This window comes from Homo sapiens, chromosome 4 (assembly GCF_000001405.40).
Source record: "Homo sapiens chromosome 4, GRCh38.p14 Primary Assembly".
In the NCBI taxonomy this organism is placed as follows: Eukaryota; Metazoa; Chordata; class Mammalia; order Primates; family Hominidae; genus Homo; species Homo sapiens.
This window is the reverse complement of record NC_000004.12, coordinates 112,241,468-112,262,922: the sequence shown is the minus strand read 5'-3', so window position 1 is coordinate 112,262,922 and position 21,455 is coordinate 112,241,468. Positions and strand designations below refer to the sequence as shown.

Sequence of the window (21,455 nt, the reverse complement as noted above, 5' to 3'; positions counted from 1 at the left end):
AATGCTTCTATTTATAAAACAAAAAATAAATTATTAAAAAATAATTGATCTCTACAAAGCATAACAGAATTGAAATGTTTGCAATTGTTTAAATTTTTTCTTTTACAAAATAACCCAAAGGATATAAAACACATTACGGAATTCCTTAGAAACTGAGTTATGAAGCAGTAGCATCTATTCTGTATAAATATAGAAGTGTTTCTTTAGAATCTGCAGTGATCTTCATTTTAAACAATCATTCCAACACCTATCACCCTCACTAGTTTGCCGGTTTTGGCCCTCATAAATCCAGTATCTTTAAGATCAATTACGTCACTGTGACCAAAGTGAACTCAGCTTTCACAAAATTCATGTCTTGCCATCTAATTAACATCAATGCACATGTCTCCTTAATTTCATTACTATCAAACTATTAAAAAATTACTTTCAAATGTAAGTTCTTGCTATTCATAAGAGCACATAAGCTGCTTTAGTAATATCTATTGTATGTTAAAGTTAACTTGAAAATCAAATTTCAACACAAATTTTTTTCTTTAGACTAATATTAACAGCTACTGTATAGCTTACGTTAATGCTTTTGAAATCACTAATTGGTCCTAAACATACTTTTCTTTTTGAGACAGGGTGTTATTCTGTCACCCAGCCTGCAGTACCATGGCACCAACACTGCAGCCTTGACCTCCTGGGCTCAAACCATTCTCCCACCTCAGCCTCCAGAGTAGCTGGGACTACAGGCGTGCGCCACCACCCCGGGTGAATTTTTGTATTTCTTGCAGAGATGAGGTCTTGCCAAGTTGCCCAGGCTGGTTCTTAACTCCTGGACTTGAGCAATCTGCCTGTCTTGGCCTCCAAAGTGCTGGGACTATAGGCATTAGCCACCATACCCACATTAAACAGACAAATATATGTATATGTATGTATGTATATGTGTGTGTGCATTTATTTTTTTTTTTTGAGACAGGGTCTTGCTCTGTCACCCAGGCTGGAGTCTAGTGGCTCCCCTTCGACCTCCCATAGTCTTGAGGATCCTGGGCTCAAAATCTTCCCACCTCAGCCTCCTTAGTAGCTGGGACTATAGGTGCATGCTACCATACCCGGCTAATTTTTGTATTTTTTTTTAGAGATGGGTTTTCACCATGTTGCCCAGGCTGGTCTCAAATTCCTGGGCTTAAGTGATCTGTCCACCTCAGTCTCCCAAAGTGCTGGAACTACAGGTCTCCCAAAGTGCTGGAACTATGACCACCAAGCCCGGTCTTAAACAGAAAAATTTTAAATGTGCAGCAGAATATGAATAATTCCATTTAGTTTAGTGGGTGCAAAACCATAATTATAGGCCATTTCAATAAACACATTAAATAACTTTAACACTTATGATTATAAGTACTTGGTTCTCTGAGAACAAATACACCAAGATAAAAACTCTTCAAAAAACCACTTATTGTGAAACAGGGTAATTTTTTAAAAATTTGCTTTTGTTGTTGTTTCCTTTTTGAGACAGGGTCTCACTCTACTGCCCAGGCTGGAGTGCAGTGGCATGATCTTGGCTCACTGCAGCCTTGACCTCTCTGGCTCAAGCAATACTCCCACCTCAGCCTCCCAAATAGCTGGGACCACAGGCATGCACCACCATACCAAGCTAATTTTGTATTTTTTGTAGAGACGGGGTTTTGCCATGTTGCTGAGGCTGGTCTCAACCTCTTGGGCTCAAGCAATCTGTCTGCCTCGGCCACCCAATGTGCTGGGATTACAGATGTGAGCCTGCTCTAAAAGTTGGTTTTAAATACCAAGGTGCATATTCTTGCCAGAGTTCCTACTTTGTGAATTAAGAAATTATTTTTAAAAGAATGTACTATCTCCATTTTTTGGCAGCATATGATTTCTGATAAATTAAGCCAAACTAAAAGAAATTATAATAGGCTGGAATGATTTTTTTTAACTCTTAAAACAGATTCATCTGTATATATCTAAATATAGGTCCAAAGACTCTACACAATATATTATTTAATGACAATTCTCTCTTTATGATAACATGTACTTAAGCAATATAAAAGACAATTTACCTCTTTTTGAATTTTCTTATCAAGATCTTTTTGTTTTTCGGCAATGGAATCATAATGCCTTTCTCTTAGGTCAACAATTTCTTCCTCAGTAAGAGGCCTAGAGAAAAAAAGGAGGAGGAGAAAAAGAAAAAACAAAAACTTCTGATGAGTCTAAGTCCAAATAAAACACTCAAAAAGCCAGTGAAATTCTCAAATTTTGCTGTTAAAAATGTTAAAGCAATTTGCTACAACTTCAATTGTTAAGAGTAAAAAGTATACATTCTAACACTTGCTATTATTCTAGTATATAAACTGGTAAGATGATACAATATCAGAATAGTTTTTAAAGCATTACAGCTACCTTTTAAGAAATGTGGATTTTATTTACCTTCATCTGGCTCTGCTTCAGCCATCTGACCTATGGGTATATACCCCAAACCATATCCCAAGATGCTCATCATAAAATATAAACATCAGTACACTATTACACCCTGATCTCAGCCGTCATACCATTCTGGAACTCTTCTTAATCCTCCTATTTTATCCTGCTTAATCACTCTGGCTTCCCCAGGCCCTTCATCCTTCCCTTTTCTCAGTCTATCTGTCCCAGTCATCTTCTGGCCTTGCTTCACTTACAACCAATATGGACACCAAGGCAGATCTGAACTACTTTCTTACCAACATACTCACCTTCTTACACTCCTATCATTATTCCATATTCACTTGGTTTACTCACATTCTGACCCTGGGTCATTTCCATGTTCAGCCCTTCCTGTTTCAGGCTGCTAGAGAAAACCTGACATCAATTTGGCACTCGGACCCCAGCAGTAGTCCTTTTATATATATGTGGCAATTCCTTCACATATCCTACACTACCAAATTAAAAATCTTCACATACTCAAGTTCCTTATTCATACTTTTTTTTATCTTAAAAGGCAATTTCACTCCACTTTAAGAAATGAGGAGTATCAACCATGAATCGCCCCAACTTTGTGGCAACCCCCACTTACTTACATATATCCTTCCTATTCTCCTCACCATCCTCTAAAGAGGAATGTTCTTAACTTGTTCAGAGTCACCTACTACATTTACACTCTTGACTCACTCACCATTGAGCCCATCTCTCCTGCCCCACTCCAGGCAATTCTCTGGGACCTTGTTCTATCAATTAGTACCTCTCTTTTACCTTTAACCTATTCCTTTTGTCTGTTTGCACCTCTCTTCCATGTGAAGGAAGGAAGGAAGAAAGAAGAAACTAAGGAAAAAACCTCCATTTGACCTGTATCTATCTCAAGCTACTGCTCCCTCTTTTTTTCAGCCAAGTCCTGAAATTAAATGTATAATATCAATAGTCAGCATACCTAGCACTTACTATGTGCCTGGCTCTCTTCTCAATGCTTCACATATATTAGCAAATTGTAATCCTCACAACAACCCTCTAAGGTAGATATAAGGATTATACATATGAGGGAAGTGAAACGAAGACAGATTAAGAGTATGGCTAAGTAAGTCATATAGTATGTGGCAAAGCCAGAATCTGAACCCCAGGTAGTGTAGCTCTTGTTCTTAACTACTGTTCTTCTCTTGCCTTCATGTCCTTACCTCCCATTCACTTGTCAACTCGCTGCAGTCTACCTCTGCTCCCATAACTCCAATAACTCTAGCAAAGGTAATCAATGGCTTCTATGTTGCCAAATACAATACACAATTTTAAGTCCTTATCTTACTACCTCAGTTTCATGGGACAGTGTTAACCATTCCCATCTGTCTGTCTGTCTCCCCTCCCTCGGCTTCCCAAGCTCTCCTGGTTCTTCTTTTTGCCTACTACTTCTTGGTCATCTTCAGAATCCTCTTCTAGTGTCCGCCTAGTCAATCCTCAGATCCTTGCTCTCTCACCATGCTCCACCTCTCCCCAAACCCCCACCTCAGTTAGGTGATCTTGGTAACTATCATGGTTAACTAGCCATTTATAGGTATTATCTCCTACTTCTGTCCCTTCAGCTCTAACTTCTGCTAGCCCTAGTTATATATTAGGGCTTTAAAATTTTTTCTTTGAAGTATAACTTAAATAAAATGAAATATAGATTTTAAGTGTTCAGTTCATAAAGTTGTTTTGATAATTGTATACACTCATGTAACTTCCACTGGAAGCAAGATACATAACACTTCCATCACCTCACATACTTTCCTTGTGCCCCTTTACAATCAATTCTCTCACTTTGCTTATGAAATTTCTAATGTCCTCCTGCTCTGCCTGGATAGTTAGCATTAACCAACCTTTCAACAATCAACACCAGGTGTTATCCCCTTAAAAATGTCTTCTTGGATTTTGTTTTGGGCAAACAGCCTCTTCTCTAAGGTTCCCTAGAATGTTCTATAATCACTATTTAATTGCTTTCCCTACCTCATATTGAAATTAGTCATCTCGAGAATCTATCTCCCAGACCAGGATGTTCTTTCTTCTAATGGAGAGACTATGTCTGATTTTTAAAATCCCAGTGTCTAGCACGGTGCTTGGCACACGACAGTTGCTTAATAAATGTTTGCTAAACTAAAAAAAGTAAGGATTATTTGTTCATAATATAACATTGTATATGAAAACTATTCTCTTGAAATTAAGAATGCTCTTTTGACTTAAAGATACTTCAAGTAACACATGCAATTTTAATAAAATATTTAAAAGCTGCTTAAATAATTATAGCATAAGGTTTTAGTTACTATTAAAAGATGTGAAAAAATTTAGTAGAATAAGTTTTAGAATGCATAAGGAAAGAAAGGGGCAATAAAGTTAAAAAATTTAAAAGAAACGTACTTATCAGTATTAAATGGTTTTAAGAAAACTAAAAAACATATAACAGGTACAACAGGAAAGCATCTGGGCACTTACATTAAATTCTTTAATATTCAAAACAGTCTTTTGAGATATATGATATTTGTCTCAATCTTATAAAAAGAAAAATCTGAAAGTTCTGAAATGTAAACTGTTTAATGTCTCAAAGCAAGCAAATGATAAAGCCTGACTTCTTAAGAGAGTTTTCTTACAGTTTGCATAGAAGTTTTGTTTTTTTTTTTTAACAAAGCCTTACCTATGACTGCTTCCTGGGCTCTCCCCCTGTACAAAAATTAATTAAACAATTAAAACAAATTCATTAGCTAAATTCTATTTAAAGTAACCAATACAATTTTTATTTAATCTAAATACTTTCAACTTACCCATTTTTTATCAGAGTAAATACATTTCACTATTAAATATATTTCACTATTAAAAATATTTGAAACAAAAAGCTTTAAAATTTTGCTACTTCTCCAAAGCAAAATTTAGTTTACTATCTAGCTTAATTACATAAAACCATTTGCTGGACATTTCTTAATTTTTTTTAACAAATATTTGTTACATACCAAATGAACTGTGGTCAGTATGGTATGAGACAACATATTCTCTATGTTCTCATTTATATTAACAGTTGATCCTCATTTTTTTGCAGTTTCTATATTTGCAAATTTGCCTACTTGGAAAATTTACTTGTAACCACAAAATCAATATTTGAGCTCTCTTGGTCATTCAAGGACAGGCATGGAGCAGTAAAAATTTTGAGTTGCTCAGCAATGCACATTCCCAGATGAGGTAGAACAGGGCGACAGACACTCCGCTTTCTTGTTTCAGCTCTCATGCTATAAACAAGTATCCTTTTTACAGTCTATTTAATGCCACACTGTTTGCATTTTTGTGCTTTTTTGCTGGTGATTTCTGTTTAAAATGACCTCTAAGTATTCCAGTGTTCCTAAAGTCCAAGAAAGCTATGATGTGTGTTATGGGGAAAATATGTGTGTTAGGTAAGCTTCATACAAGCATGAGTTTGTGCTATTGGCTGTGAGTTCAAAGTTAATGAATCAATAATATGTGTTTAATACAGTGTCTTACACAGAAACGCACATTGAATGAGGCTATATACTGATTGGTTGATGAACATATTGTGATCAGAGGCTTGCAGGAACCTAACCTTGTATTTCCCCTGCAGTAATGCTTCAGCATTCACTAATTTAGCATTTACAGCAACTTAAATACAATAATGAGAATCAACTTTTTGTTTTCTTTCACAAGGTTATGAAATTATCTGTAGTTTTTTCCTCCAAAGCAAAGCATAACTATTTTCAGGATTTATTCAGGTTTATGCCTATTTCTTACACATTTAAACTATTCATAACTGAAAGTTAAAATATAATAGCAGGAATAAAATTCCAAATGGTCCACATTAGTTTAGAAAGTAGCACTACAAAACAGGATGACATTCAACTAAACCAAACACAAAATATGAAGTAAATTAGAGAGGAGAAGAGGGGTTAGCAAAAACAAAAATTAAAAAATCCTCAGCCAACCAAACAAAAAGCATCTTAGGAAAATCCATGGAATCACGAGTTCTCTTGAAAAGTGTTACGATGCTGGGATGAATTCTACTGGAGGCTGAAAGAAGGCTTACTTTTAACACTTGTCAGATGCTTTAAAAATATCATGTCCAGTGTTTGCTTAAACTTTTTAAGAGAAAGACATGAAGACAAAAGTGACCTCTGCGAAGGGAAAGAAGTAAGTTCTATGAAATGGAATGATATTTTACTGGGAGAACAAACGGCTAAAATAGTTTCCAAAATGTGTCCTATCAGATGAAAAATATGTATTATTATTTTAAAAAAGGATTTTTACCCACGTTAATTTAAGAAGAGCTGAGTTGAACAAGTTTAAATAATTCAGTTTAACAATAGTTTATCTCAATCTTTTACATGCTAATTTACACTCTGAGACTAGTATTCTATACATACTCTGAGAAAGGCTGGACTAAAGAATACATTTTTAAAGGAAAAGATTAATACATTTTCTTCTTTCCCTAGAAAACAAAAACGACAGTGTCAACTTTCAGTGTTCTTCTAGTCGAACCAATTTTAAAGATGTAGAAAGTAGACCCAGGGAGGTTAAGTAATTTGCAGAAACGTACACAATTAATTTAGTGAAGTTGCAAATTAGCATACAAACTAAAGTTCTAACTATACGAATGCATAAGAAATGCTTCTTAGCCTTTTGACTAAGATCAAATGTTGAAATATACACAATTTGCTGATTCTAAAATGCACTCCCTTCTCATTTTTAACACTTCTGTATTTGAGAAGCATCTTAAAACTTGCTGAGTTGTATGAGATGAAATGTAGAAAATCAACATAAAGAAAAGATAAAAGAGATGATGGCTAAAGTCAGAAACTGTAGAATAAACATGTAGAAAATCTGACATCAGAATCTATGAAAACTATAAAGAATAGGCCTACTCCAAAGCTGGGTGAAGTGGTACACACCGATGGTCCCAGCTACTCAGCTGAGGCAGGAGGACTGCTCAAGCCGAGGAGTTTAAGTCCAGCCTGGGCAACATAGCGAGATCTTGTCTCTTAAAAAGAAAACAACGGCAACAACAACAAAAAGCAATGGGTCTACTCTGGATTGTTAGGTATTTTACCTACTTAATGGCAAGAGGTTAGAAATATTAGAAATACAACTTTCTGAAGTTCCTTGGGTTTCTGTATAACGCTTTAAATCCTGTGTGTGTATATAGTGTATCTTAGATAGTAAAAAAATTCGGAATTGGCTGGGCGCGGTGGCTCACACCTGAAATCCCAGCACTTTGGGAGGCCGAGGCTGGCGGATCACGAGGTCAGGAGATCGAGACCATCCTGGCTAACATGGTGAAACCCCGTCTCTACTAAAAATACAAAAAATTAGCCGGGCGTAGTGGCGGGCGCCTGTAGTCCCAGCTACTTGGGAGGCTGAGGCAGGAGAATGGCGTGACCCGGGAGGCGGAGCTTGCAGTGAGCCGAGATCCCGCCACTGCACTCCAGCCTGGGAGACAGAGCGAGACTCCGTCTCAAGAAAAAAAAAAAATTCGGAATTATTTTCTAATATAAATTAGTAAAAGAAGGAAATAATAAAGAACTAAAAAGTAAAAATAAAAACCAGAAAATAAAAATTCTAAAACAAAAATAATAAAAATTGTAAACGTAATTGTTAGAACTAATGAGACGATTAATGAGAAAAACAAATACAAGTTTTGTACTATTATGGAAATACTTACTTCATCACTTTCTACTAGATTCTCAAACTGAAAGGACAAAAAAGTAAGCGTTAAGAGGAATATTTGTCTTAGGTATACATCTCACAAGAAATTATGTTACTTTTTTCACTTAAAAATAATATACCTTTATATTTGTAAGCTATTTAATTCAAATGCCTCTTTAATACATCATTTCATTTGATATATTTAACAGTCCTACAAAATGGCCAAGACAAGCATATACTATTTTAATTTATGACTTTCTATGAATGAAAATCAAACAGGAGAATTATAGCAATTTTCTACATAAATCAGAACTAAAACTTTCATCTGAATTGAATATTTCATACAAGTAATTTCATTCCATGCTACCAGAATATTCCACTTCACTTGACTACAGAACAAATGTTGTAAGAAGGAAAATTATTCAAGGAATGGGGACTAAAAGATACCAAATAAGAATTTCCCCACGTTTATATTTATCCGTCTATTCATTCATATAGTTATTTACTGAAAATCTACTAAGTGGTAGTTACTATCCCCAAATACAATGTCTTTCTAGAGATAGGAATGTAAACAGTTTGATCATAATGTGCTTAACACTATTATGTCAGTGACCTAATAAAAGTCATTACTATTATATCACTAAAGTGTTTTTATTTTAAATATAAATAACTTGATAAGTAACCACCTGAAATAAAAGGTGTTTTATTGTTAATACTGTTTGGCTTAAAGATTGAGAGAAAACAATGAATTCAAAAGGTTTAGAAAATTAAGGAATCTCTCTGAAAAAAGAATAAAACTGTTAAAGTTATTATCTTTATCTTTTTTTATATTAGTTTGTGATTTTTAAATATCTAATTCCTGCCTTACACATTTCCTTATTAATATAGAAGGCCATAAAGTACAGTGTTCCAGCTTTGAAGCCAGGCAGTTTGGACTAGAATTTAGGTTTTGCCACTTAATAGGTTGTGTAATATAGCCCAATTTCTCCACCTGTCTAAGCCTCTGATTTTTCATCCATGAAACAGGGTGACCACCACCTGTTTACAAGAGAGTTGTGATGACATTCTTAATTTGTATGGTGGAGTGGCTAGTTTATAGTAGGTAAGGAATAAATGGTAGTTTCTATTATTATATTTTACATTCAAAGAAAAAGTGACTCGGTCATTCTGCTGTGGAGTTGCTTAAACTCAACTTCCTGCTTTGTTTCTGGACTCCCCCCTGCTGGGGCAGGCCAACCACCTCTCGTTATACCCTAGTGAGCCACTATTACTGACAGAAGAGTACCTTCTCCCTGACTTATAGGGTGGGGGAAAAAGCTATTAGAAAAACAGAACCATAATCCTCTGCAAACTTCTTCCTACTCATTCCTTCCCTCACTGCTCCAACTCTTTCAATCTTCACTAACATGAATAATATTGAAATATAAACAGTCCATTCTAAATTTGGGTCCAGATCTTTCCCTCTTTACAACAAAAAGCCCCTTCCGCCTTTCTGAAGGCATTTTTAATTCAATCAAATTAAGGACTACTTACCTCTATTGTTAAGTGCTCACCTCTTGAGCATGTTCTAAAATACTTGGATCTGGGAAGGAAAACAGAATAACTTTAAAAAACACAATTAACTCTAAGATTGAATTAATATATAGCATAAAAACATTTATTTCCTCAAGAGCAACTTTAAAATCTCTAACATATAGTTATATTTATAAAAAAAGAACAACAAAATTTACCTAAGACTATAAAAAGTCCAGATTTTTAAACTTCATTATGACTTTGTTTAGTCAATCAATATTTCTTTCTATTGGCACTAACACTTACTAAATCTGTAATAATTAATTTACTATATTTACTACATTGAGTAGAATACATTTTAAAATGTATCTCATTATTTTTACTACATCAAGAAAAGTACCTCGTTAAAAAATACTGATGTGTTAAATAATATATAAAAAGAATATGTTCTCAATTTTGTTAAAAATACACAGAACATTAAGTATCTAAAAGTATATATGTCAATATGCTAAGAGTAGTTATCTTTGGTGGTGGAATCACGTGTCTTTATTCAAGACTTTTGTTATCTTCCCATGCCCTCACAAATAAAAGAGAAAAACAATGCATATACATGTCAATCAAACAATCCATTACATTATTTTTTCCAACTAGGGCCAAATATTGACTTTATTTTAATCATTCTTTCCTGCTCCTATTAAACTTATATGTAGTCAAATAGGAATCTTCTTTATTATATCCTCCAAAGATATGTCTACATTCTAAGTACTACAGCATCCAAGCTGGCATCCCAGGAGAGGGCCACTCACAGTCCTTTGTAACTGGAAGTGCCAGGAGATTACGGGACTTTCAGTCATAATGTGGCTCCTGTTACAGCTGCCAAAACTGATGGAGAACTCCACTGCCATACAATGGGGATCCAAATTTGTACTAAGTGTTCTTAAATCATCAGGATTCATGGACAGAAAGCACACTTTTAAGAAACAAGGAGAATCCTGGGGTTAGGACAGGTCAGAATTCTTTTGCTTTTCTTTCTTTTTTGGAGACAGGGTCTTACTCTGTCACCCAAGCTGGAGTGCAGTGGCGCAATCCTGACTCATTGCAGCTTTGCACTCCTTGGCTCAAGTGATCCTCCTGCCTCAGCCTCCCCAGTAGCTAGTAATACAGGCATGCACCACCATGCTTGGCTTCACTTATTTTTTTGTAGAGACGAGGTCTCAATGTTACCCAGCCTGGTCGCAAATTCTTGGGCTCAAGTAATTCTGGGACTCCCAAAGTGCAGAATTCTTTGTATTATGTGTATGTGTGTGGATGAAGGTTTAGTGAAAGAGAATGCCATATCATGACTGAAGGAAAAAAATAGCAATGAAATTATGGGAACTATTTTTCCTGCTATAATCTTTATCTGCTGATAGATGCAAATCTGTGTTATTGTCCACTAAGATCATTGGTAAAAAGCAAAGAATTTGGTATTACAATTCCACAGATTTCATGGACTATATCCAACATAAATGCAATACCCTTAATCCTCTATCTAGTGCCTCCACTCTTCTCTCTCCTTTATTTCTCAAACAAATACAGAAATGAGTTGAACCTTCAGTAGTAGCACTGGGTTCTGGCATTAGGATTCCTGCTTACAGTGCTATATGCTTCTCTCCCTGCAACCATCACTATCTTCCCTGAATGGAGAATCTGTCTCTGATTAATCTGTTTCCTCCTCCAGGTTAGTGAGTGGTACAGCTGAATAATTAGAAATAAAGCCCAGTAATACTATCAATAGGAGCCATCAGTATGACTTCACTGCTGTGGCAAAGCCCAAAGCTAAGTAGAACATTGTCGAAACCAAGGTAACTGTTACACTACATTTGTATTAGATGGCAGAACACCATGTTCTAGTCTAATTATACATAGATAATACAAACTAACTTTAGTAGTAGGCAAAAGTGTTATCTGTTGTAAATATCTCCCTTTTCTGTCCCCTCTATTCACAGCCAGCTATAGTGAGGACACTCACGTCCTCACATGACTCTGAATCCCTGAGTATCTGACTAAGCTAGAATCAGTCAATCCCTCACACCTCATTTGACTGGTTCAGGGTTACACAGAAACTGAGCAGGGAGAGACAATATCCTTCTGAGAGCTCTAGAGAGTTGCTGGGGATTATGCTTTCTGACAATGCGCAATGAGAGGAATGAAATAAACTGAAAGAGTGCTCTGACAGCATCAAAATCATCCCTAAGAACCAGATGCATTCCACCCTGCTCATGGTTTGGTTATTAGTTGAGAAACCTAACATCCCTATTACAAATTCTACCCTTTGCCTAAGATAGTTTTAATTGGGCTTCTGTCCCCCACAAAGTCCTGATTAATAAACATGAATATAAGTGATATGACAAGGGAGTAAATTAAGAATAGCAATAAATAAAACAAGATAAAGAGAAAAGCAAAATATATTTGAGAGAAAAGCAAAATATATTTGGGAAAAAATTCAAGCTTTCCTTTTAAAATGGATTAGATTGAGACTTTGTTCACAAAATGCATATCTTGACTCCTACCACAATAAAAGCTAAGATTATACTGATAAAGTAAATACTCGATTTGGCAAACTCAGGGTCAACATTTTTATCAGGGGAGCTTTATCCTGTGACTTATCTGAAAATACCAAGAAACATAACATGTATATATTCCATGAATTAAGTTACTTATTCAAGTATGCTTGAATTATGTTTACTTGTTCAAACATTATTGATGACTGAATAGGACCCTCAGACATGTGATGTATTAAATTCAGTCACTGACATTTTGCCAACTTCCAGCCATATAAAACCATAACTTTTCACATACTTTTCTATATTCTATGTAATATATATGTTTTAAAAATAATTAGAAAGCCAACGTCCTAATGGTTTGAAAGGACCATTTCAGATTTCGGAGAGCTATTAAGAAATGAAAAATGAAAACTCAAATCTTTCCATATTATTGGATGCTTAAAAGCCTAGCAAATTTGGAATACACCTTTTACAATGTTTCCTATAATAAACTATCCTGCATTTTCTGTTCTTTCCTTCAGTTTTGTTCTCAATGAGGCTCTTGGCAATCAATCCTTCACTACTTGCTCCTAGGTAAGGATGAGAATGTAAGTGAAGGGTAAGCGGAACAACTGGGGAAAGGAATGGAAGTACTCAACTATTAAACCTTAAGTCAAGTTTTACACTTTTATTTCATAAATATTTATCAAGTGCTTCTAAAGTGCCTGGCACTGTTCTAGATGCTGGCAATACAACTGTCAACAAACAGATAAAGGTCCTGCCACCTTGGAGCTAACAATTTGTGAATGAATGATAATAAACACATAGATAAATGCATCAGATGATAGTAATTGCCATGAAAGAAAAGTACCTCATGCTGTTTTCCATGAAATTTGTACTAATTCACATTCCCATCAACAGTGGCTAAGTATTCCCTTTTCCCCACATCCTCGCCAACATCTATTGCTTTTTAACTTTTCAGTAATGGCCACGCTGACTGGCACAAGATGGTATCTCACTATGCAATATATACAGGTAAGAAATCTGCAGCTGTACCCCCTAAATCTATAAAAAATTATATATATATATATTTCTTTTTTGAGACAGTCTCACTCTTACCCAGGCTGGAGTGCAGTGGCTGGATCTCGACTCACTGCAACCTCCACCTCCCAGGTTCAAGCGATTCTCCTGCCTCAGCCTCCCAAGTAGCTGGAATTACAGGCGCCCACCACCACACCCGGCTAATTTTTGTAATTTTAGTACAGACGGAGTTTCACTTTGGCCAGGCTGGTCTCAAACTCCTGACCTCAGGTGATCCACCCACCTCGGCCTCCCAAAGTGGTGAGATTACAGGCGTGAGCCACTGCACCAAGCCTATACATTTTTTTTTTTTAAAGAAAAGTACCTTAGAGTAAGTGAGGATCGTGATTGGAGGAGGAAGGTTATTTTATTTTATTTTTGGAGACAGAGTTTTGCTCTTGTTGCCCAGGCTGGAGTGCAATGGCACGATCTTGGCTCACAACCTCCACCCGCTGGGTTCAAGCAATTCTCCTGCCTCAGCCTCCCGAGTAGCTGGGATTACAGGCATGCACCACCACGCCCCGCTAATTTTTTGTATTTTTAGTAGAGACAGGGTTTCTCCATGTTGGTCAGGCTGGTCTCGAACTCCTGACCCCAGGTGATCTGTCTGCCTCAGCCTCCTAAAGTGCTGGGATTACAGGCGTGAGCCACCGCACCCGGAACAGGAGGTTATTTTATGTAGGGTGGTCAAGGCAGACTTCTCGGTTAAAGCAAAGGCAGAACAAAGACCCCAAGGAAATGAGGAAGCCAGCTAGACAGATATCTGGAGGAAAAGAATTCTAAACAGAGGAAAAGCAAAAGCAAACGCTCTGAGGCAAAACTCTACTTGGCACATTCTAAGAAAGCGAGAGGGTCAGAATGGCTGGAATGAAGAAGGAAGGGAGATAAGGTCTGAGAGATAGCCAGGGTCAGATCACAGGCCTTTATAGACCATGGGAAGAGTTTTAGATTTTAATATTAATTAGATAAGAACTCACAGAAGAGATTTTTGTCTTTAGCATTCACTCTGTTTTTTAAAACTTTTATCATGAACCTTTTCAAATATGCACAAAAGCAGAGAGAAGAGATTGATAAGCCCCCCTGTACCCATTACCGCACTTAAAAAGTTACTACTTCCTGATCATGTTTCATTTATACTATACTCCTTTTTGTTTTATTTTTTGTTGGTATTTTACAGCAAATCTCAGACATGTTATCTTACCCTTACCTCAATTTGCATCTTTAATTAAAGTATTAAGAACTGTTTTTTTTAAAAAGCTAACATACCAACAAAATTTAAAATAATTTCTTTAATATTATCTAATGTGTAGTCCAATCTATATTTCTATTTCCCCATATTTCACATATGATTTGTTCAAATCAGAATCAAACAAAAGCCCCACAGAGTATGTTTGCTTGTTAGGCCTCTTGCACCTCTTTTAGTCCATATCAGCCCCCTTCCCAGCACCAGTGTCTGTTTTCATGCCACTGATTTGTTAGACAAATTGTGTCACTTGTCCTACAAAATTTCTCACTTTCTGGATTTACCTGATATTTTTCCTCTTGGTATTATTTAACTTTTTCTTCTATCCCCTGTATTTCCTGCATTTTAGTAATTTGATTTAAAAGCTTGATTATATTGAGTTTAATTTTTTTAGGCAAGAATGCTTCACTAATGGTACTTGCTATTGAATCAAATCATAAGGAACTTTATTTTTGCCTGCCTCACTTTTACTGATGATCTGTAAGTTAGGATATTTATGTCAGCCTAATCCACCCATCATAATATTTCACATCAAGCTTTTACCAAATGGTTTTTAACATCCATTGATAATCAGTACTCAGTTCCATTATTTCACTACAGAGTACAAAAACAATGATTTTTAAATTCTATCATTCCTTAAGAATCTATTAGCTGTAACAACTTCACTGGAAGATCCTTAAAAGACACGCTGACATATGTTTTAAGAGGTCAATTAGAAAGCTATTATAATAGTAGAGCGAAGAAATGATGGTGGCTTGAATCACAGTAACAATAGTGGGAGTAATGAGAAGTAATTCTGAAGACAGGGCTGACAGAATTTGCTAATGTATTAGATATAAGGATGTGTGTAAAAAGGAAAAATCAAGGCTATCTCCTAACTCTGAGGCCTGAACAATTAGGATGGATTTGTCATTTACCAAGATGAGGAAGCCTGGGAAAGAAGCAGGTTTGTGTTTTTAGATGCCTTGAGCTTGACATTCATACAAAGAGTCTGGGTGAGACTCCTCTATTCAAATTCGAAACTACAACGTTAACATAAACATCAGCCCAAAAACTCCTTAAAAGTATTCCTATATTTAACCCTGGAGCTACTTCTCAATCTCAGATCAGTAAAAGTACTTTTCTTTTCTTCTTTTCTTCACACCCAGGAAATTTATGTTGCTTGCTTTTGCTATCCCAATAAGGTTGTCTGTAGACAAAGATGCAATGTCAGCAATTTTTCCCCTCCCATACATACACTTCATGTTACTACCAATACATACATATGCCTATTGTTTCTAGGGATTTTACTTCTAAGTAATATCGAGAAATGGAAGTATAGTCTCTTCCTTGGGGACACAGGAAGAGTGAGTTATCTCCCAGTAAGCTGGAAACAGAGAAAACAGAAATTAAAGCTACAAACAATACATCATGGATCAGTTACCTTCACATGCTAAGTTAACTTAAGGAAACAGAAGGGCTCCTGTAAGATTTAAAAGAAAGAGAAGGAAGTTAATCATATTTTTAAAAAAGATGTGTAAAATGAAGAAACAGAAGAATACAAAATAGAGAAAGAAATGTTGGTAGAGTTCAGCCAAACTCTGTAGAAAAGTCCCCTGGTTCAAGGAACTGGGCTATCTGGTCCCAGTGGATGGTAGTGTTCCAAGGTGATGGGTTATTTGAATTGTATAATTAACTTTCTTTGTTCTGAATCTACAATCACTAAGCACCTCCCACCCTGTTATTCTATGCTTATAGTAAAATAATGTCTTTACCTAGACACAAGTACTATATAGTTCCTTGACAGTTACATTTCCCATTTTAAATTATTAAATTTACCTTGGTTTTCTCACCTGACCCAAGAGGTTGAAGGTGAGAGCCTGGGACATGACGAAATCACCAATGTGGTTGCCCAAACAAAATTATTATGTATTTTTTGTTTGTTTTGAGACAGTCTCACTCTGTCGCCCAGGCTGGAGTGCAGTGGTGTGATGTCAGCTCACTGCAACCTCTGCCTCCTGGGTTCAAGCGATTTTCCTGCCTCAGCCTCCCAAGTAGCTGGGCCTACAGGCGTGCACCACCATGCCCAGCTGATTTTTGTATTTTTAGTAGAGATGGGGGTTTGCCATATTGGCCAGGCTGGTCTCGAACTCCTGGCCTCAAGCAATCTGCCTGCCTCGGTCATCCAAAGTGCTGGAATTACAGGTGTGAGCCACCACACCCAGCCTAAAATTATATATTAATGGGACAGCAAAAGTAGCCACAGGAAAAATCACATAACTCATCATTCAAGTCCCCCAAGTACTGTGTAGTAATATTTCATTATTATATAGGTGCTGGTTGAGAATATTTTCAAGAATGAAGTTTTAGACGTATATAGGGCAGCATCATTAAAAAAATGAGACAAAAGGAAACTGGATCACAGTTTAAAACCAGAAATTTGGTGCCAACTATTAACGTACATTTCTAATAATCTTAGGTGAAAATTGAGTCTTAGAAGGAAAGATAGGAAGCAAAATGAGCAAAAGCAGCAATATCTATTACAAAAGCTGACTCTCAATTACTGTTAGTTTAGAGAATAATAAGAACATTTTATTTTCTTCAATTTGAAAAAAAGGTCAATATTTTATTGACTTGAAGTTTCCAACTACATATGCTACAAAACCCAAAACATAACAAGCTATTAATATAATGGAGAGCAAAGAGAGGCTTGCATTTACTGAGGACCTACAATGGGTCAGGAACGAAGCTTATTTTTAAAATATGTATTTTATATTCATTTGCTTCCCAGAATCATCCTATGAACTATTGTTATCCTATTGGATAGATCTGCACTGTCCAGTAATGATAACCATTAGCCACAAGGGGCTATTGAGCAACTGAAATGTGGCTAGTCTGAATTTTAAAGGCTATTATGTGTCAAACATGCATTGGATTTTGAGGACTTAGTACAAAAAATTACGTAAAGTATCTAAACTCCAAAAAGTAAGCTCTTTTCAACATATATCCAAGGTCAAGTGTAGATAAATATCTTTTAGATCTTCCTTAATTCTTCCCCCTCCATGTTCAATCCATCACAGTTCTGTAGCTGAAAACACTGCTATACATGTTCTGATAATATGTGTAGCCTGGAATCTAAAAGTGCGCTAATTTTATATATAACACTGTTCACATTATATGCTTTTAGAGCATTCTTATAAGAAAAAAATAAGTTTAATTGTATTATGCATAAAACATTATTTTATTAATTAACTATTATTCATAAAAAGATTTTCACTAAAAATTAGGAGTATATAAATCTGGTGACATTTAAAGTTAAAAGAAAATCTGATCTACTATTTTCAATAGTAACTGCTTAAGAATCTAAAAATAAAGGAGAATAGCCACCCTACTTTTTTAGACCTATTGTTAGCCTATAAGTAGGTCATGTTGTACAAAGCTTCCTACATTTGCTAAATAAAATTATAGTGTAAATTGGTACAGAACAATCTAAGATTCTATTATGCAAACATAATTGCTTAAAAATAAGGAAGCTAAAAAACAGTATTCTCCGCTTTCATATTTGTAACTTCTGACTAAACCTACTGAATCTCAAATTAATTTCATTTATAATGACAACAAAACAACTCTGTAAGAAAACTCCAAGTTTATACAGACCAGAGATTTTTGGAGGTGTGAATGTTGGAGGTACCATAGGAAACAACAACAGAAAATGGCAAGAGTAAATCTAAGGAGGTCTCCTTCACCCATCTTTGGGCAAAAATCAATATAACACTGCATTATTACTGACAGGAGACTACTGCACACCTTTGGGAGTTGATGTACAAAAGAAAAAAAATGGTTATGAGCCCCTGAACTAGGCATTTTACATTTAGAAACCCTCCAATATAGGTATTTAGTCTTGACAACTCTGTTTTAGAAAAGCAGTTATTCTCATCCTGTGGCATGAAACAATTGCCTTTTAAAAATAAACATTACTGAGCTTCACCTTCAAGTTGACTAAGAAAGCCTGGGTATTATATTCCAGCCCGTTCACCCACTAGTTTATGCTGTGGCAATACAACAGGGTTTTAATTATTAGAGTCTATAATCTGATAGGACAAGTTTCCTTCTTCAAAATTTGTGGGCTCTTTATGGCTCTTTGCTCTTCCATTAAAATTGCTGGAATCAGCTTAAGTTCCACAAAATTCCTATTAGGATTTTAACTACAAATGCACTAAATTTCAAGTAAATAGGCAGAGGACATCTTAAGCACAGTGAGTCTTTTTACCCATGAAAATGGTATTGCCCTGCATTTATTTAGATGGCATCTTTAAAAACGTTGTTCTAGTCTTACACATCTATTATTGATTACTAGTCTCTTATATTTTTTCATTGCTATCTTAAAAGGTAATTTTATAATATGCAGTATTTGTTGCTGGTATATAGGAATATTATACAATAAAGTTTTGACAAAATATTAGATTGCATTTCACATCAACAGATTGAAAAAATATCTGACAATACCAAGAGTTAGGAAATGGAACAATGAAAATTCATTATTGGTAAAAGTTTAAAGTAGTATAATTACTCTGAAGAAGTTTTATTTTTCTAGTAAATTTGAAGAGGTACATAAGCTATGACTGAGCAATTCTACTCCTAGGTATATCCACCTAAAGAATCTTCTGCACATGTGTACAAAGAGACATTTATCTCCTTGCACAAATTGAGGTAGTTTGTAAAAGAAAAAGAAAAAAAAAGAAGTTGGAAATGATCTAAATGCCCATCAACAGAAGGGTGAAGTAATTATGGCCTATTCATATAATACAATACTGCACAGGAATAGAAATGAATGACTTGAACCAGAAGTAAACCTTGGTTCATATAAGAAGCTGCTCCTGCAAGTGCCAAGAATGATACAAGTCCTAAACAGTGAGCGGGGATAAACGTATAGAATGAACGTATGAATAACGTATGCAATCAAATTTGAGGCTAAGCAAGAATAAGATGGACTAGGGTGGTGTCAGTGAGAGAAGTGGAAGGATTAAAGAAATATTTACAAGATAAAAATCATCTGGTTTGGGAGACGGACTGGAAAACAAGAGATGATGGGAGAAGTGTCAGAATCCCAATGGGGATGTAATATGAAAGCAGCAGTATCAAGAGTGAAAGTACAAGAGAAAAATAAATGCGGTAAATCCAAGACATAAGACTTAAATGCCAGCAGTGAAACGATAAAGGACAAAGTGATGTGAGAAGCTGGAAGAATTCTCTAGCAATAGAGCAGTATCACATAAAGTTGAGCTGTGAAGAAAATGATTACGGGCACATAATATGTGCATTTAACGTTCATGAATCCAGTCACATGCCCTGGAGGAAAAAGGAAGGCGATAAGTAATTTGGGCAGCAACCCACTATTCTATTCAAGAACATGTATATTCAGGTGTGTTAATTAGGGTGAAAGTTGAGGAGCTGAAAGAGGCTCCAAAAACAATGATTTAAAGAAAATAGAAGTGTACTTTTTCCTCTTAACAGTCTAGAGTTCCTCCAAGTCATCCATGGACATTCATTTACATGTAATTCTTATGGTCCTGTGAGCTGTCTCTAAATGAAGTAAAGTAGGCTTCTGCGTATCCACTCTACTACTACTGAAGATGTGAAAGTGGATTGTGTTATAGCTTGGATGTTTGTCCCCTAACAATCTCATGTTGAAATTTGATCTCCATTGTTAGGGGTGGGGCCTAATAGGAAGTGTTTAGGTAACAGTGGTGGATCCCTCATGAATGGCTTGGTACCAACCTCATCCTCATGGTTATGAGTGAGTTCCCATGAAAGCAGGTTGTTAAAAAGAGCCTGGCACTCCCTCCTTGCTTCCTCTTTTGCCGTGTGATTTCTGCACACAGTGGCTTCCCTTCACCTTTTGCCACTAGTGGAAGCAGTCTGCACCTTACCAGATGCAGATGCCCAATCTTGAACTTTTCCAGACATCAAAATTGTGAGCCAAGTAAGCTTTTTTTTTCTTTTATAAATTACCCAGTCTCAGATATTCCTTTATGTCGACACAGCCTAAGACAGATTCAAACACATAAAGGACATCAGAGGGGTAGAAAAGAAAGGCTATGACTGGTTCCTGGAGAATAATACTCTGAACGATGGAGGCATATACAGAAATTTGGAAGAATTTGAAACTAACGTGGTACAAAAGTGGAGATACTTGCATACATATTCACTTATCGATGTTCTCAAGGTAGATTTCAAGATACTTTTATTAAAGATAAAACCAGTCTTGTTAAGAATAGGCTTAAAATGCAGTATTTTATGCTTCTCACTTTGTTTTGCATAGCAGGCAAATACTCATATCAAAGTGACTTAAGTAAAAGGTAACTGAAAAATTATCACAAATTCTACATTGATATTGTACCTTTTCTTCATATTCCTCTTTATATCTGTCAGAATAAAATAAGAAAGTCTTTCCCTGTATGTTTTGCTTGACACTATAAATAAATGATGAAGAATCATGGTAAATTGTTCCAAAGTCTATTAAAAATTAAAAGCTTCCCAAGAATGCTATTTTTTTTTTCAGAAGACTGGAAAGATTATAAATCTAATGCCTGGCAAAAAGTATTACAAAGATGATGGAAACATTGTTTTCCAATTAGTATCAAATATTTCAATAGAGATTTAACCACTCAAATCTTAAGGGATAAAATCAACACATTTTTCCAGGTAGGGATAGCAGTGACATAAGGTGATGTGACGGTTAATTTTATACGTTAACATGAGTGGGTCACCAGATGCCCAGATATCTGGCTAAACATTATATCTGGTGCATCTGCAAGGGTGTTAGAGAACAGACTCGCATTTGAATTGGTGGACTGAGTAAAGCAAATTGCCCTTTCCAAGGTGGGTGGGTTGCCATCATTTAATCCATTCAGGGCCTGACCAGAACAAAAAAGCTGAAGGAAGGTTGAATTGAATTCTCTCTACTTGACTGCTTGAGCTGA

The 21,455-nt window shown here is 35.8% G+C and overlaps 1 protein-coding gene across 6 annotated transcripts in view; it reads right to left on the bottom strand.

Moving 5' to 3' along the window:
• AP1AR (adaptor related protein complex 1 associated regulatory protein) overlaps positions 1 to 21,455 on the bottom strand; it is a 41,324-nt gene that overhangs the window by 10,188 nt on the left and 9,681 nt on the right. For 4 of the 6 annotated variants that reach the window (NR_136622.2, NM_018569.6, NM_001128426.3 and 1 more), the window contains exons 2-5: positions 9,667 to 9,715; positions 8,150 to 8,176; positions 5,126 to 5,151; positions 2,061 to 2,157 (exon numbers count right to left, since the gene is read on the bottom strand). Coding sequence is in view for 4 of the 6 variants with exons in the window: in NM_018569.6 (NP_061039.3) it covers positions 2,061 to 2,157; positions 5,126 to 5,151; positions 8,150 to 8,176; positions 9,667 to 9,715 (199 nt within the window). In the remaining 2 variants the exon portion in view is untranslated. Of the gene's footprint in view, positions 1 to 2,060; positions 2,158 to 4,443; positions 4,591 to 5,125; positions 5,152 to 8,149; positions 8,177 to 9,666; positions 9,716 to 21,455 lie in introns of those variants that run through there. The other 2 variants (XM_047415928.1, XM_047415927.1) reach the window with 2 other exon arrangements.